General features: G+C 38.2%; 1 protein-coding gene across 15 annotated transcripts in view; it reads left to right on the plus strand.

The window, feature by feature from the left end:
- The window catches only part of RNF180 (ring finger protein 180), a 207,519-nt gene that overhangs the window by 80 nt on the left and 192,244 nt on the right, over positions 1-15,195 (plus strand). For 8 of the 15 annotated variants that reach the window (XM_017009383.2, NM_001113561.2, XM_017009386.3 and 5 more), the window contains exon 1: positions 413-523. The exons of 4 other annotated variants lie outside the window; for them this stretch is intronic. The gene's annotated coding sequence lies outside the window, so the exon portion shown is untranslated. Of the gene's footprint in view, positions 1-412; positions 524-556; positions 828-15,195 lie in introns of those variants that run through there. 3 more of the 15 variants (XM_047417121.1, XM_047417122.1, XM_017009389.2) reach the window with 3 other exon arrangements.

Genomic DNA, 15,195 nt, shown 5'->3' on the forward strand with positions numbered 1-15,195 from the left:
GTTGCCAGCTTAAAAGTCCTAGGCATGGGGATGGGTGGATGGGACGCCGGCCTAAGATTTTAGCAGGGAACAGACCCAGTAGTTGGCTTGGATCTCTTAACTCCAGAAAAGGCCGAGTGAGGACAAGGGAGACCACAGGGATAATTTCTGTGGCTCTGGTAAGGGGATGACAAGGGAGAAAAACTTTCCCACGGTTCCGTCTGGCCCGCGGCGCTTGTCTGCCTGCGCGGGGTCAAAGCCCGGCGCCGCCCACGCGCGGCTCGGGTGGGAACCCGCAGACGTGGGGCGAGCAGGGCCGCTGGCTGTGGCGGGCGAGCGCCGGGGCGCCACGTCCGAGGCCGCGGGGTCGGGGCTGCAGGCACAGCTCGAGCGCTTTCCGCGGGGTTTGGCTCCTGTCGCTTCCCGTCTCGCCGAACCGGCATCGCCGCCGCCGGAGCCGCAGCGAGTCCTCAGAGCCTGGCTGCTGGCGGCCGGGAGCGCCGGGACGGGGCGCGAAGCCGGAGGCTCCGGGACGTGGATACAGGTAAAGGCCGGCGGGTCGGAGTCGGGCGGGGCGCGGCGGCGGCGCCTCTCGGAGGGACCTGGCCTCGGCCGGGCCCTACCCAGCCGCGGTGGCCCGGGCCCCCACGTTGGCCCAGGCGGGGACGTGCCAAGGGGCTGGGCTAGGGTTGCCGCTGGCCTGGCCGCCTCTCGCCCGGCGGGCCTCAGGTGACGCGGCCGCGGCTTAACTTTCGCACCTGAGGCTCTCGGAGCGGCCTCGGGGCGCGCCCACCTGGAGGTTGGAATTACACAGGGTCGAAAAAGCTGAGTCCTGGAGGCGAGGCGCTGTAGGTGTGGCGGAGGAGGCCGGGGAAGGTGGGGTGGGTGCCAGGGGTCCAGTACTGAACCCTCTCCAGGTCTGAGGTGGGGAACTGCGTCTTGTTTAATTTCGGAGCTTGTGGGGACCACACAGCCCCTTCCACGGCCGATTCCCTCTGCACGGTTCCACTTTCCTTTGTCTAGCCCATTTCAGTATCGGCGTCGCAGTCGCTTTTGTTGCAGCCTTGGGTCCGGAGTGTACGACTTTCTGCTAGGCAGAGGTCATAAGCTCTGAAATCCATCGGGCGGAGGTGGGGAGATGGTCCTTTGGTGGGAAATTACTAGTGCTGTTATGAACACTAACACATATATTCCACCTTGTTTTTTTTCGAGATAGTGCTCATTATTTTCGTAGCATCTAACAGTTGTAAGTGTATCTGTGAGAGCATTCATTAGTTAACTTCAAAGGAGCATTATGCGGTCGGGTTACTATTATCCCATTTTATAGACCAGACAGCTGAGGCACCCAAGAGGCAAAGTGATTATATCAAAACTAAGCAGTCAATCCTTGTGGAATCTGTGATTAGAACTTGTCTGACTAGAGTTGTCCTTGGTCCAGTTGGTCTCTTAGTCTCAAACAAAATTTAGCTCTCAAAGATGGACGGTCTGATGCTCATTGTATTTTTATATACTCATTAATTGTTAAAACCTTTCTTAAAAAATAGAGTCAATTCCTTTCAGACTCCTGTTATAGTACCCCTAAAAGTGATACTTGAAAGATCATAAACACTTCAGTTTCAAATGAGTGGTATCATTTGAGTCGTAGAAAGAAGTAAAATTCCGTTGTCTTTTATCTGTCAGACTTTCGTCTCTTGTATAAATGTAGTGCCACTGGCAGCCCAAAGATACTTTGGTGACAATGGCAGAAACTCTAAATATTTATTTAATAAGTAGAATCGAGGAGGCGAGCTGTTAGGTTTCCCGGAATATTTGAGTAAGTTTTTTCTCATAAAGAATCAAAAATTTAGGAGAATAGTCATTTTAATTATTGTAATGAAAAATTATCTCGTAATTGTGTACGTGTTATGTTGTACTTTATCTCTCTGGAACCATCAACAATTTACCAGTTTCCCTAGGGTTTGCTCTTAGTTTTGTCAATGGTATTTTATTACCCCATTTTTCTTCCTCTCTTTCATTTTTTGTGTGTTTGGTTTTTCAAAGTGAAGATTTTTTCTTCGAAAATTCAAAAAATAATATTGAAAAAATCAACAAGATTTCTTTCTTGATAAAATAGACTTAATTAGCACTTTTTTGAGTGTGTCTGAGGACCGACACCAGCCTCTTTAATAAGCACCTCATACATGAAGCAGGAATTCTTCCAGGCAAGAATGCAATAAATTAATCATTTTAATATATTTCTGTAATATGACATAGCTACCTGAATGATAATGCTTTTTACTCTTACAATGTCTTTTTCATTAAGGAGCATAAAGATTAAAAATTTCGCTTAAATTTTGCTAACTACATAGTACAAGGGGACAGTGTGCTTAGACTTAATTGTTGCTTTCATGGAATAAACACAGTTCTCTCTCCCTTATACCACCTCCATTTGGCCATCTGAAAAAAGAATGGTGATGTGTCCTTTCCTTCATAGGGATATTTGGGGAATTAATGAAGTAATATCTCGAAAGTAGTTTGAACTCCACGGAAGAAAGCAGCTTTGTAACTTTGAAATGTGATTGCAGAGTCTTGAAACATTTTCCCTCCTTAAACGTGCTGTCGTTTATATTTTTAGAGAGTGGTCATTCCAAGTAGTCACCTCAGGAGGCTAAAAACTTATTCCAGTAGTGCTGCTGCCATTCATAATTATTTTGTATTTTTTGAAATTTCTAGTCAATTTACAAGCAAAATAAAAACATTTCATGATAACATTCATAAACACTTGTTTTTGTTTCTATTTTTTAATCAAAAAACTAATTCAGCTTGAGTACCTATTTTCTTTGCTAAATTTGGCAGAATGATTTCTACATGGTTGTAAAACTCAGTTCTACCTTCAAGATTTTACCACTATTAAGGATATTTAAAGGATTGTCCTGATGGCTACGAAGGCAGTTTTAAAAGGGCAGTTTAAAAATAGTTTAAAATAATGACAGACATTGTTAGAATTTGCAACCTTCCCAGAAGTCTACTACAAAGGGGACAGTGCTTACTTGTAGGCTGAAGTTCTGTGTGTATGTGCACATTTGCATGTAATCTCTGTTGTAACCTATCAATTATCTCTTTTCATCACATTGATTTCTTAGAAATCAGATATTTTACTTACATATTAAATAGAGTACATTAAGTAGATCACATCATACTGGAACAATGTTAGATTGGGAGTGTATTTCATAGAGAAGTTTGAATGTCACATAAATTTAAATTTAAATCTTTGTAACAATTTTGAATAATAAAATGTGGCTCCATATTGTATGTTTTGAGTGTAATACAGCCAAGGCAATATAGCCTCAAAATATAAAATTGCTATTTCCAAAAAAAAAGTTATTAACAAGTTGTGTGTGCAACAGACTTTCCTGACCACACCGATGTCAAAAGAAAAAATTTCGACAAATTTAGTTTAAATATCAAATTGGCTTTTATTAGCAATTCTGAAATTGGGTAGCATCTCATTCCATAAAATAGAATGCCATGCCCTAGGCATGGCAGAATAGTTGGTTTTTGTAAGGTGGAAACAAGGAAACAGAGTATTTTTAAAAGTCTGTTGGTTAACATCAGATTACTTAAGGTTACTTTTAAGTGTTAAAGCAGAAGGGGCTACTTATGCCAGCTTAGGTTTACTAAGCCCTTTCCTGTTGCAGCAAATCTCCTGTTTTCAGGAAAAACTAGTTTGGTCTTTGAACTAGTTCCTTACAGTTTCAGACTGATTATGTGGCACTGAGCATGAGTGACTCCCTTTTGGTTTGATCTCTTCGGGCCTAGTGGAGGAGCTCCGTCTAAAACAACGTCCTGTTGTAAATATTATTTAACAATTCTGTCCTTTCAGTAAGCTTTCACCTAAGTGAGAGTGTGACCAAAACTTAGGGCATTAACGCTACTCTCAGTTACTATCATTCTGGGTTTCCAGTCTCAACATGTCATTAATAGGTTAGGTGTCCTCATTATCATAGGTTTCTTTGAGTTTTTATCATATCAGCTGGAGAGAGATCATTGACATTCAGCAGATTGCTGCATGCAGTCATTTAAAACTTTTGAGAGAATGCAGCACACTAGGGAGACTACCATTATGACTATCAGAAAGATAATACCAAGAGTTTGGAATGTGATTCTTAATCAAAGTTCCCATGAACCAAACCCACTGAAATTGGACAGATCAAAGAACGAGAAAGACAAAGAATCCACTTATTTTAACCAAGTAGCCTGTTTAATTTTTTTTGCAACTGAGTCTCTATAATACCGGAATTTATCCATGTGCAACAATAAGTGTTACCAACTGCAAAGACTCCTCGCTCTTTGACCAGTAGAAATCTAGAGCAATTCTGTTAATACCTAGTATAACTTTAACAAGAGAATTCAAAGAAGTCTTGTGCAGCTATAGCATTGCAGTAGAATCTTCTATAGAGGCTATTTCGCGGGATAAATTCTAATCATTACTTCATTTGTATTACTCTAAGCCATAGGAAAAGGGACCTAACAAAGCCGATCCAAAAGGGTTAATGCCTCTTGGCAGTGTTCTCTTTAATCTATGACATAGGTAAGGAGTGAGCCAGTATTCCACTTCTGGATTATGGAGTGACAACTTACCATTTAGATTTTTAGCCCACATTGACCCTTCATCCTCTACCTGTCAAGGCATGAGGTTGCCTGTGTATAAGGTTGGCCACAGAGTTATCCACAAATAATGATACACCCTGTGGGTGCACATAAGGACTGCTTCCCAGTTCTGTTGTTTGTGGATATATTGCTTGGAATGGTGGATTTAGCAGTTTCTAGCCAAGGTTAAAAAACTAATATGTTTGCACTAAGTCAGTTTGAAATAAACTCTATTCAGGCTTTTGGTACAATCCTGTCTTATGATACACTCATTTGGACTTGGTTCTTGTATCCCATGACTGGATTAAATTAAAACAGGGAGAGAGAACAAGTGGGTCTAGAAATCTGACTCTATAAGAGGGACCAGTAGCACAATTTAAACAAGCAGTTGTGTTCGGGGTGTTTTTAAGTTAGCCACTGAGTAGATTAAAAGATCTTTTAAGTTATGTAAAGATTTGGGTTTGGCAGGACAGATCCAACACTCTGTGAAGTTACCTACAGAAGCAACTGGTTATGACAGTATTATCCTGCCTAGCGGAAAAGGCATAAGAAAGGAAAAATTAAGAGGGATAAGAATCTTATTATGATGGAGGATCTTTTTCTGATGTCTTGGGAAAAGCCATCCACAGTGTGAAGTCATCAGCTTCTTATCCTGGTTAACCTGATTTTTTAAGGTCTGTGGCTTAAGAAGAGAAGCAGGTGGCATCAGGAGGTGGTCTTTTATGAGGGAGATGTGAATCCAGGGGTCAACACCTTTGAGTTTAGCTGCTATGCCTGTAGTCAGGAGCACTTGGTATGGTCCTTTCCAGTGGGATTCAAGAGCAGTCTTTCTTTGAAGACATTTCGAGAACACCCAGTCACCAGGTTCCAACAAGCCTTTTTGGTTCTGTGTCTTGAAAGTCTTCCTTTACCTGTTGGTGATAACTTTTGGCATAGTGCATTAAGAATGTACAGTATTGGGTCATTTCAACATAGGTCTATTAGGGATCTACATTTGGAGTAATAGTCAACGATATAGAGTAACAAGCAGTAATTTCATAAGAAGTTAACTTGTGTTTTCCAGCACTGTGGCTCTGAAGAGTCATAAGAGCCAGAGACAGAATTTTAGGCCAAAGAAGGCTAGTGGTTTCAGAAAAGTTGGAAATTCTGAGGTTAAGTATCCCATTCATTTTATCGACCTTACCAGAGGACTGAGGGGGATAACGACAATGATAATGCTAGACTGTTTGTAAAAATTTAAGTAGAGCATGAATTAACTGTCCAGTAAAATGAGTGGCTCAGTTACTTGAAATGGCATTCAGTATATACCGCAGGTGTGAAGTACTACTTTTGGCAGTTTTGTTTTACAGTAAGGGCATTGTCAGCCTTTTGACATGGGAAGGCCTGAGCCCATCCAGAGAACATATAGACTATAACAGGCACATACAGACTATTGCAAGTACATGCTTGGTGGGAGTGGATGAAGTCTCATTGTACATGTTCAAATGGGCCTAATGGTTGGAGTGAGGGGTGGTCATTCCAGGGGAACTTTCTTGGATTATGAGTTTGCCAGCTTAAATATTGATTTTAAATAGCTTTTATAACTTTATAACAATTTTCCCACCACAACTTTTTGATCATTTGATCTATCTTGTCAGTACCATTATGGATAAGGGAATGTAAGAAGCATAACAAATATCCCTTAAGTGACCTTTGGAGTACCAAGTGGCTGTCTTGGCCTTCCCAGAACTTGGAAAGGAAATTATAAGAACATCCTTCTCATTCCTAAAATTTGTTTTAATTTTTAGAGGCCTTCTCCACCCCGCCCCCCCACCAATAACTAACAGCATCTGGGTATAAGGAAGCAAAGTTAAGTAGCAGGGAGCATGTCTTACTGTTTCCAGCTGTTGGATTTAGGTAAAAGACCTCACAGAGTTGGGTAACATCTTTGGCACAAAAATCAGTTGGAGTACTTACCTGCTATTCAGCCTCAGTTCTCTTTGTTTGAGCTTCTTCTTTTATAACAGTAATGTCTTTGGGCATCAGTATCCAGCAAGGAGCTTATCAACTTGTGGGCCACTTTTTATTGGTATGCCTGAAAAAGTGAGGAAACATCTTTGCTTCCAAAGTGTTTCAAAATCACAAACCACTTCAAATGCATAGTGACTGTTAGCGTAAATGCTGACAGACTGATTTTTAGGTAAAATTCAGGCACAGGTATGTGTGTGAGTACTCCCCAGTGCCTGCTTTAATGTACAAAAAGGATTACAGGTTTTGAATCATTGGGCAATTCTAAAGCAGGGGGCTGGGGGTTGTTGTACTACCCTTTTTCATTCTACAAAGGCTGCCTCATGTCTCCCCCCACCCCCCACAAGGAATGGGTTTAGGAACTGAATTTTTAGTGAGTTCAATAAGTTGGGATGCTAAGAGTAAAGATTTAGGAACCTGTAGATGGCAATATGCAACTAACTCTACTAACATATTAAGTTGTCTCTTAGTTCTGGGCCTGGGAAAATCGTGGATGAGCCTAAGTTTTTTAGGAGACTTGGATACTTGCAGCACTTAGATCATGTCTTAAATAGTAAATAGTATCTGATGATAAATGTAATTTTTCTATGGAGACGTTATGTCCTTTCTCTGTTAACTGTTAATATGTAGATGAAATACTCTTAGGATGCCTCCTCAGTGCACGAACAAAGAGGTCCTCCGTGTATTGCAGGAGAGTTGACCCTCGATACTGGAGGGTGTGCTCAAGTCTTGATGGAGCACTTGAGAGAAGTAGGAGGGGGCTTCAGTGAACCCCTGAGGCATGACTGTCCAGGTACACTGTTGATTATTCCAGGTGAAAGCAAATAGATATTGACTGTCATGGTCAGTGGGAATGCTAAAAAAGGCTGAACATAGTTCTACCACTGTCAACTGTTTAGAATTCAGGGGACCTGGGATAAAAGAGTATTTGGGTTTGGAACCACTGGGAAATGTTAAATAATTATCCTGGTAATGACTCTTAGATCCAGACAAATTGCCATCCTTGCCTGTTAGATTTTTGTCCCTAGTATACAGCAAACTGTACAAAAAATAGAATCATATTAACCAAAACCAAATATCCTTGATACAGTATATATTAACCATTTAATTAAGGTTTTTATTTTCTTTTACAGAGACAAATTTTAATTACTTGAATTCCCAGCCAAAGTAGAAACCACCCAATAACATTTAAATGAGAATAATTTTACATATTTCTTGAATGTATCTTGAATGTATATACAATTTTTGTTGTCATATTTTTGTAAATAGCCATTTAATTTCACTGTACTTTTATTTATAATTGACACATTTTTGACATATATTGTACATATTTGGGGGTACAGTGTGATGTTCTGATACATGTATATGTTGTATGATGATTAAATCAAGGTATTTATTACCTCAAAGATTTTTCATTTATAGTGAGAACATTCAAAATTCTCTCTTCTTGGTATTTTGAAATATATACAATATAGTGTCGTTAACTATAGTCATCTTGCTATGCAGTAGATCACCAAAACTTATTCCTTGTACGTAACTGCAAGTTCGTACCTATTGACCAATCTCTCTCCCTCCTCCTTTCCCTTTCCCCTTTCCCTTTTCCCTCTCTCCCCTTTTCTACTTCCCAGATTCTGGTGACTGCTGTTTTCCTCCCTACTTCTATAGCATCAACTTTTTTTTTTTTTTTTGAGATGGAGTCTCATTCTGTCACCCAGGCTTGAGTGCAATGGCATGATCTCGGCTCACTGCAACCTCTGCCTCCCGGGTTCAAGTGATTCTCCTGCCTCAGCCTCCTGAGTAGCTGGGATTATAGGCATGCACCACCACACCCAGCTAATGTTTGTATTTTTAGTAGAGACAGGGTTTCACCATCTTGGTCAGGCTGTTCTCAAACACCTGACCTCGTGATCCACCTGCCTTGGCCTCCCGAATTGCTGGGATTACAGGCGTGAGCCACCACACCTGGCCTGACATAACTGTTTTAGGTTGCACATGAGTGAGATTTTGCAGATTTTGTCTTTCTGTGCTTGGTTTATTTCACTTAATATAATGTCCTCCAGACTCATCCATGTTGCCACAAATGACAGGACTTCATCCCTTTTTTTGGCTGAATAGTGTTCCATTGTGTATATATACCACATTTTCTTTATCCATTCATTCTTTGATGGACACTTAGATTGATTCCATATCTTGGGTATTGTGAATAGTACTGTAATAAACATGGGAGTGCTGATGTCTCTTCAGCATACTGATTTCATTTCCTTTGGATATATACCCAGAAGTGGGATAGCTGGATCATGTTGAAGTTCACTATTAATTTTTTGAGGAACCTCCATACTGTCTTCAATAATGGCTGGACAAATTTACATTCCCACCAACAGTATGTAAGAATTCCTCGTTCTTCATATACATTCCAGCATTTGTTATTTTTTTTTCTTTTTGATAACAGCCATTCTAATTGGGGTGAGATTATGTCTCATTGTGATTTTAATTTACATTTATATTTACCAAACAGTTAGTGATCGTTGAGCATTTTATCATATACCCGTTGGCCATTTATATGTCTTCTTTTGACATCTATTCAGGTCTTTTGCCCATTTTTGATCAGATTATTATTATTTTACTGTTGAGTTAAGTTCCTTATATCTTCTGGATATTAACTCAGATGCATAGTTTGCGAATATTTTTCCCATTCTATAGGTTCTGTTTATCGATTGTGTCCTTTGGTGTGCAGAAACTTTTTAGTTAAATATAAATATAATCCTGCTTGTCTATTTTTGTTTCTGTTGCCTGTGTTTTTGAGGTCTTATCCAAAAAATCATTGCTCAGACCAAGGTCATAAAGCATTTCCCTCATGTTTTCTTCTGGTAGTTTGATAGGTTCCGGTTTTACATTTAAGTCTTTAATCCAGTTCTTTTTTTTTTTTTTTTTTTTTTTTTTGAGACGGAGTCTCGCTCTGTCCCCCAGGCTGGAGTGCAGTGGTGCAATCTCGGCTCACTGCAACTTCCACCTCCCGGGTTCAAATGATTCTCCTGCCTCAGCCTTCCAAATAGCTGGGATTACAGGCATGTGCCACCACACCCGGCTAATTTTGTATTTTTAGTAAAGATGGGGTTTCTCCATGTTGGTCAGGCTGGTCTTGAACTCCCAACTTCGGGTGATATGCCCGCCTCGGACTCCCAAAGAGCTGGGATTACAGGCATGAGCCACTGTGCCTCGCCAATCCGTTTCTATTTTGAGGTGATTTTTTTTCATATGGTAGAAGACGGGGGTTTAGTTCGTTCTTCTACATGTGGATATTCAGTTTTTCCAGTATCATTTATTTAAGAGACAGTCCTTTTCCTAACATGTGCTTATTATACCTTTATCAAAAATCAGTTGGTTGTAAGTGTGTGGATTTATTTCTATATTCTCAATTCTCTTCCATTGGCTTTTCTATTTTTATAGCAGTACCATACCATTTTGATTACTATAGTTTTGTAGTATATTTTGAAGCCAGATAATATGATCTCCAGCTTTATTCTTTTTGCTCAAGATTACTTTGGCTATTTGGGGTCTTTCGTGGTTCTGTATGAATTTTAGGATTTTTTTTCATTGCTTTGAAAAATGTCATTGGTATTTTTATAGGGATTGCATTAAATCTGTAGATTGCCTTGAGTACTGTGGACACTTTAACAATCTAATCCATGAACACAGAATATCTTTCTATATATTTGCATCCTCTTCAATTTCTTTTATCGATATTTTATAATTTTTACAATAGAGATCTTTCACATGCTTGGTTAAATTTATTTCCAGGCATCTAATTTTTTGTAGTTATTGCAAATGAGATTGCATTCTTGGTTTCTTTTTCAGATAATTCTCTATTGGCACATAGAAATGCTACTGAATTTATATATTGATTTTGTATCTTACAACTTTACTGAATTTGGTAATTAGTTCTAACAGTTTTTTGGTGGAGTCTTTAGGATTTTATAAATCCTGGAAGATTTTGAGAAGAACTGGTATTAGTCTTGAAATGTTTGATAGAATTCAGCAGTGAAGCCCACAAATCCTGGGCCTTTACTTTGATGTGAGACTTTTTATTACTGAGTCAATCTCCTCATTTATTATTGGTCTTAATGTAAAGGTTTTCTATTTCTTCATAGTTCAATCTTGGTAGGTCGTATATATCTAGGAATTTGTCAGTTTGTTTTCAGTTTTCCAATTTATTGGCATATAGTTTTCATAATATTTTCCTTTGTATTTCTGTAGTATCATTTGTAATATCCCCTTTTTCATTTCTAATTTTATTTGAGTCTCCTATCTTCTTTTTCTTAAGGTTCTGTTAATTTTGTTTATCTTTCCAGAAAACCAGCTCTGTTGTGCTTATCTTTTGTATTGTTCTTTTTAGTCTCTTCTCGAAAAAATCCCTTTTTGTGGGGAATGCCAGGTACTTCTAGTCAGCCATCTTGATGACATCACTATTAACAAGGTGTTTTCTTGCTTTCTTAGATTTTTAGAAAATTTTTGAGAAATGACGGCTGAGTTTCATAAAAAAGCTGGCTGAGGAAATTGAAACTCCTGAGTTTTTTAATCTTGATAAATTTTTCCATAGCAAGCAGAAATACTGGAGAACATTCTGTTAGTAACTGAATTGTCCTTATGTTTTATAATCTCTTTACCTGATTAGTTCACTGATGGTTTGATATCTGGAAAACCTTAGAAACAACCACAGCTGTTTAAAAGCAGCTTTAAAACATCCTTGGTAAAATTGCTGAAATAAACAGTGAGGCTTGTTCTGAATGAGAATTGCCTAGCCTATTCAGAAACCTGTTGAAAAAATGTATCCTAGAGGCCAAAATTGAAGTATGGACACATATTTTGGGCAGCAAGGAATGAAGAGAATAGACGTGTGGGCCAATGGTATTATAGGTAAATTGGGGGCTGTCTACTCAAAGTTTGTTTAATAGAGTTAGAAATTAACTGCATAAGGAGAACTTCTATCTTTCTGGCCAAATTTTGCTCAGATCTCTGGTTTCAAGGTGGAATTTGTTAATTCTCAGACTGTTTTCTGATGATACGTGAAGTGTATAATAGATATTTGTATAGCTACACGTGTCTGACTTAGAACTACTAAGGCTGTAGAGTCAGAAATAAAGCTTTCTCTGCTCAAGTCAAACATTATACTTACTGCTAGCCAAACAACCCTACACATTCCCGACTTAGTGTTTTGGCTTATTTATTTTCCTTGTTTTAGATGTCCATATCTCTTCATTCTACTTGGCTGATGCTATTTAAATCCCCTCTATACTTTAAGACCCAACTGGAAGACTACTCTCTTCACAAAGCTTTCCCTGACTCCCTAATTCTTGTTTCTTGCCCTTAGTTTATCTGATACTACTTAATTGCTAGTTATTTTCTGTGTTCTCAATTATTTTACTTATTTTGGCCATGAACTTGTTCTCTATCTAGATTTTTTTCAAAGGCATAAATTATGCCATATATATATATATATATATATATATATATATATATATATGTATTTATTTCTTTCCTGAGTCATACATAATACCTAGAACAGTGGTTAATAGCAGTATATGTCAGCTTATAAGGTTAGATCTACAGAAGAAATTTATTACTCTGATACTCTGGTATAAAGCATAACTTAGTAATGTTAGTCAGTGTTCTGGTAGAAAATAGATGACATACTCAGATGAGGTAACTGAGATGAGTTTAATTTAAATAGGTGTCTCTAGGTTAAAATAAACCAACAATGGATGGTGAAGCACCCCAAGACTAGCAATAATGAGAGTCATTATCATCCCTAGGCTTGAAGAGGCAAAAGAAGGACCATTACTGAAACCCACATGGAAACTATGTAGAAAAGGCTGCCTGGGGCTGGGCGTGGTGGCTCACGCCTGTAATCCCAGCACTTTGGAAGGCCAAGGTGGGTGGATAATGAGGTCAGGAGATTGAGACCATCCTGACTGACATAGTGAAACCCCGTCTCTACTAAAAATACAAAAATTAGCTGGGCATGGTGGTGTGTGCCTGTAATCCCAGCTACTCAGGAGGCTGAGGCAGGAGAATTGCTTGAACCAGGGAGTCAGAGGTTGCAGTGAGCTGAGATGGCGCCACTGCACTCCAGCCTGGTGACGGAGCTAGACTCCATCTCAAAAAAAAAAAAAAAAAAAAGAAAAGCCTGCCTGACAAGAACTCTGGCCTTTCTATGATCTGACAGGGGAGCACCAGAGGGAATATATATACCCCAGCCTCACGCTTTTCCAGTCCTTTGATCTCCACCTGATGCTTTCCATTGGCAGACAATATTGGAAGCCAAAAGGCAAGAGAGCCTTGATGTAGCAGTCCAAAAGTCAGCCTCCTGGGAATTAGAGCAAAGTTAAGAAGGTAAAGAGTAGACTCTGGAATGTGGAGCAAAGAATATCCAGCACTGTAATCATATCAAGAGAGTGTTTCAGTTACAGTTAATGTTTTATGCCTGTTTGTGCTGTTTTTATTTCTTGAAAGGCACCTATGTTTTTCTAGTCTAATTCAGTTACTAACATCCAAGAACATTGTATGATTGATGCATTGCATATGAAACGCAGCTACTGTCCTCTTTTCTTGTGGTATTAACTTGTGTAGTATTGTTAAATGTGTCTTCTTAATTTATTTTTTTATATTTTTCTATTGCTTGTACAGTGCATAGGTAGAATACATGGAACTGTCCACATAGCCATTAGGAAAACTGTACCTTCACCATTCCAACTACATATTTTTTCTAAATCAATCAGCGTTGCTCATTTTTCTTTTTGTGTCATTTTCATAGACAAGTGGTTTTCAGTCTTATTGTGTATATGGTCCTCAATGCAGACATTTTGATTCAAGCAGGTTTAAGATGAGGCCTGAGCGTCTATTCTTTTAAAAAAAACCTTTCAGATATTTCAGATGCACAATAAATGAGAACTACTTGCCCAGGTTATCATTTTGACCCAGGTGTTGTTGCTGCTCCTTCCCCACTCCCCAATATATATCATACTTTTTAGTAACTAAGGCTTAAATGGAAATCGAATGCTACTTTATGTGCTCTTCAAAGCAAAATAAATGTTTCATATTTTTCATATTCACAAATACTTATGGGATAGAAAATATGTGGTTTGCAGATTCCTAATAAAAAATTTAATTTTTTAAATAAAATATTTCAAATTTACGATATAGAGAATAATATACTGAACATCTGTGTGTTCTCACCACTTAGTATTAGAAAATATTAATGTTTTACTATTTTTCCTTTTTTGTTTTAAAAATAAAAATGCAGATAAAATTTAAGCCCCCTTTGGTTTCTTCCTAGAGGTTACTATTCTAAACTTGGTGTCTGTCATTCCTGTGCATGTTCTTATGCTTTTGCTACACATGCATGTATCAATAAACAAAATATTACTTTGTTTTACATGCTTTAAAACTTTTTATAAATCTTACTGTGCTGTGTTATTCTTTAATGTGTATATTTCTGCAGCCTTTTTACTTAAAATAACTTTGATTTTTTTCTAGATACATACAGCTTTATTACTTTTCATTGCTATATAGTATTCCATTGTATGAATGAACAAATATTTATCAAATCAATTGATGCACATTTGGGTTGTTTCCAGTTTTTTTATATTATTGCAAAGTGTTGCTAAAATGAACATTCCCATATGATATGTTTCCTTATTCATATACAAACCTAGAAGTAGAACTGCACATCCATGGATAGACATATTTTATTTTATCAGACATTATCAAATTGCTTTCCAAAATGATTGTGCCTAGTTATACCTCCCCGTAGCAGTTTTTGAGATTCTTCTTGTTGCTCCAGATCATTTTTATAGTTGGTATTGTAAGACTTTTTAATTTTTCCCAGTGTGATGAGTGTGAACGGGAACCTTGTTTTATTTTTCATTTTCCTGATTTCTGGTGAGGTTGAACACTTTTTATATAATTGTTGGCCATTTGGCTTTCCTCCTCTAGGAACTGCACTTCCATACTCCTTGTTCATTTTTCTGCTGGATAATTTTCTTTTAAAAAATTTGTTTTGTAGAATTAATTGTAGCTATTAACCATTTGCTTATATTTGCAGATTTCTTCTTCCAGTCTGTGGGTTGTCATTAATTTTGTCTTTTCTTATACTGAAGTTAAAATTTTATCAGTGTTTCACTTTGCCATTTTATTCTACTCTGTTTTTTGAAACATGACCCAGCCTATAGTCACAAGTTTGAGCTCAAGGTTTGCAGCTTTCTGTAATATCTTACTTTCAAAATTTGTTTGTAGATAAGGCAGGGTATAAATAAATAAATGAAGAAGTAAACATGCCATACAATTGCTCATTAAAATTTGTGTAAAATTATGAATTTTTAAAAAATTATGTGAAGACTCCTTCTGGTTCAGAAATGGCAGCTAGCAGCCTCCAGTGTACCATTTTCTCATTTTTCATTAAGTTCCTATGAAGATGTAGAATAAAATCAAAATTTACCACAAAACCAAAACTTAAAAACTTCAAAAACACAGAAAGCAGGAGGAAGTACCTTAATTAAGAAGCATATGGTCTTAGGTTGAGAG

Source organism: Homo sapiens, chromosome 5 (genome assembly GCF_000001405.40).
Source record: "Homo sapiens chromosome 5, GRCh38.p14 Primary Assembly".
Taxonomy (NCBI): Eukaryota; Metazoa; Chordata; class Mammalia; order Primates; family Hominidae; genus Homo; species Homo sapiens.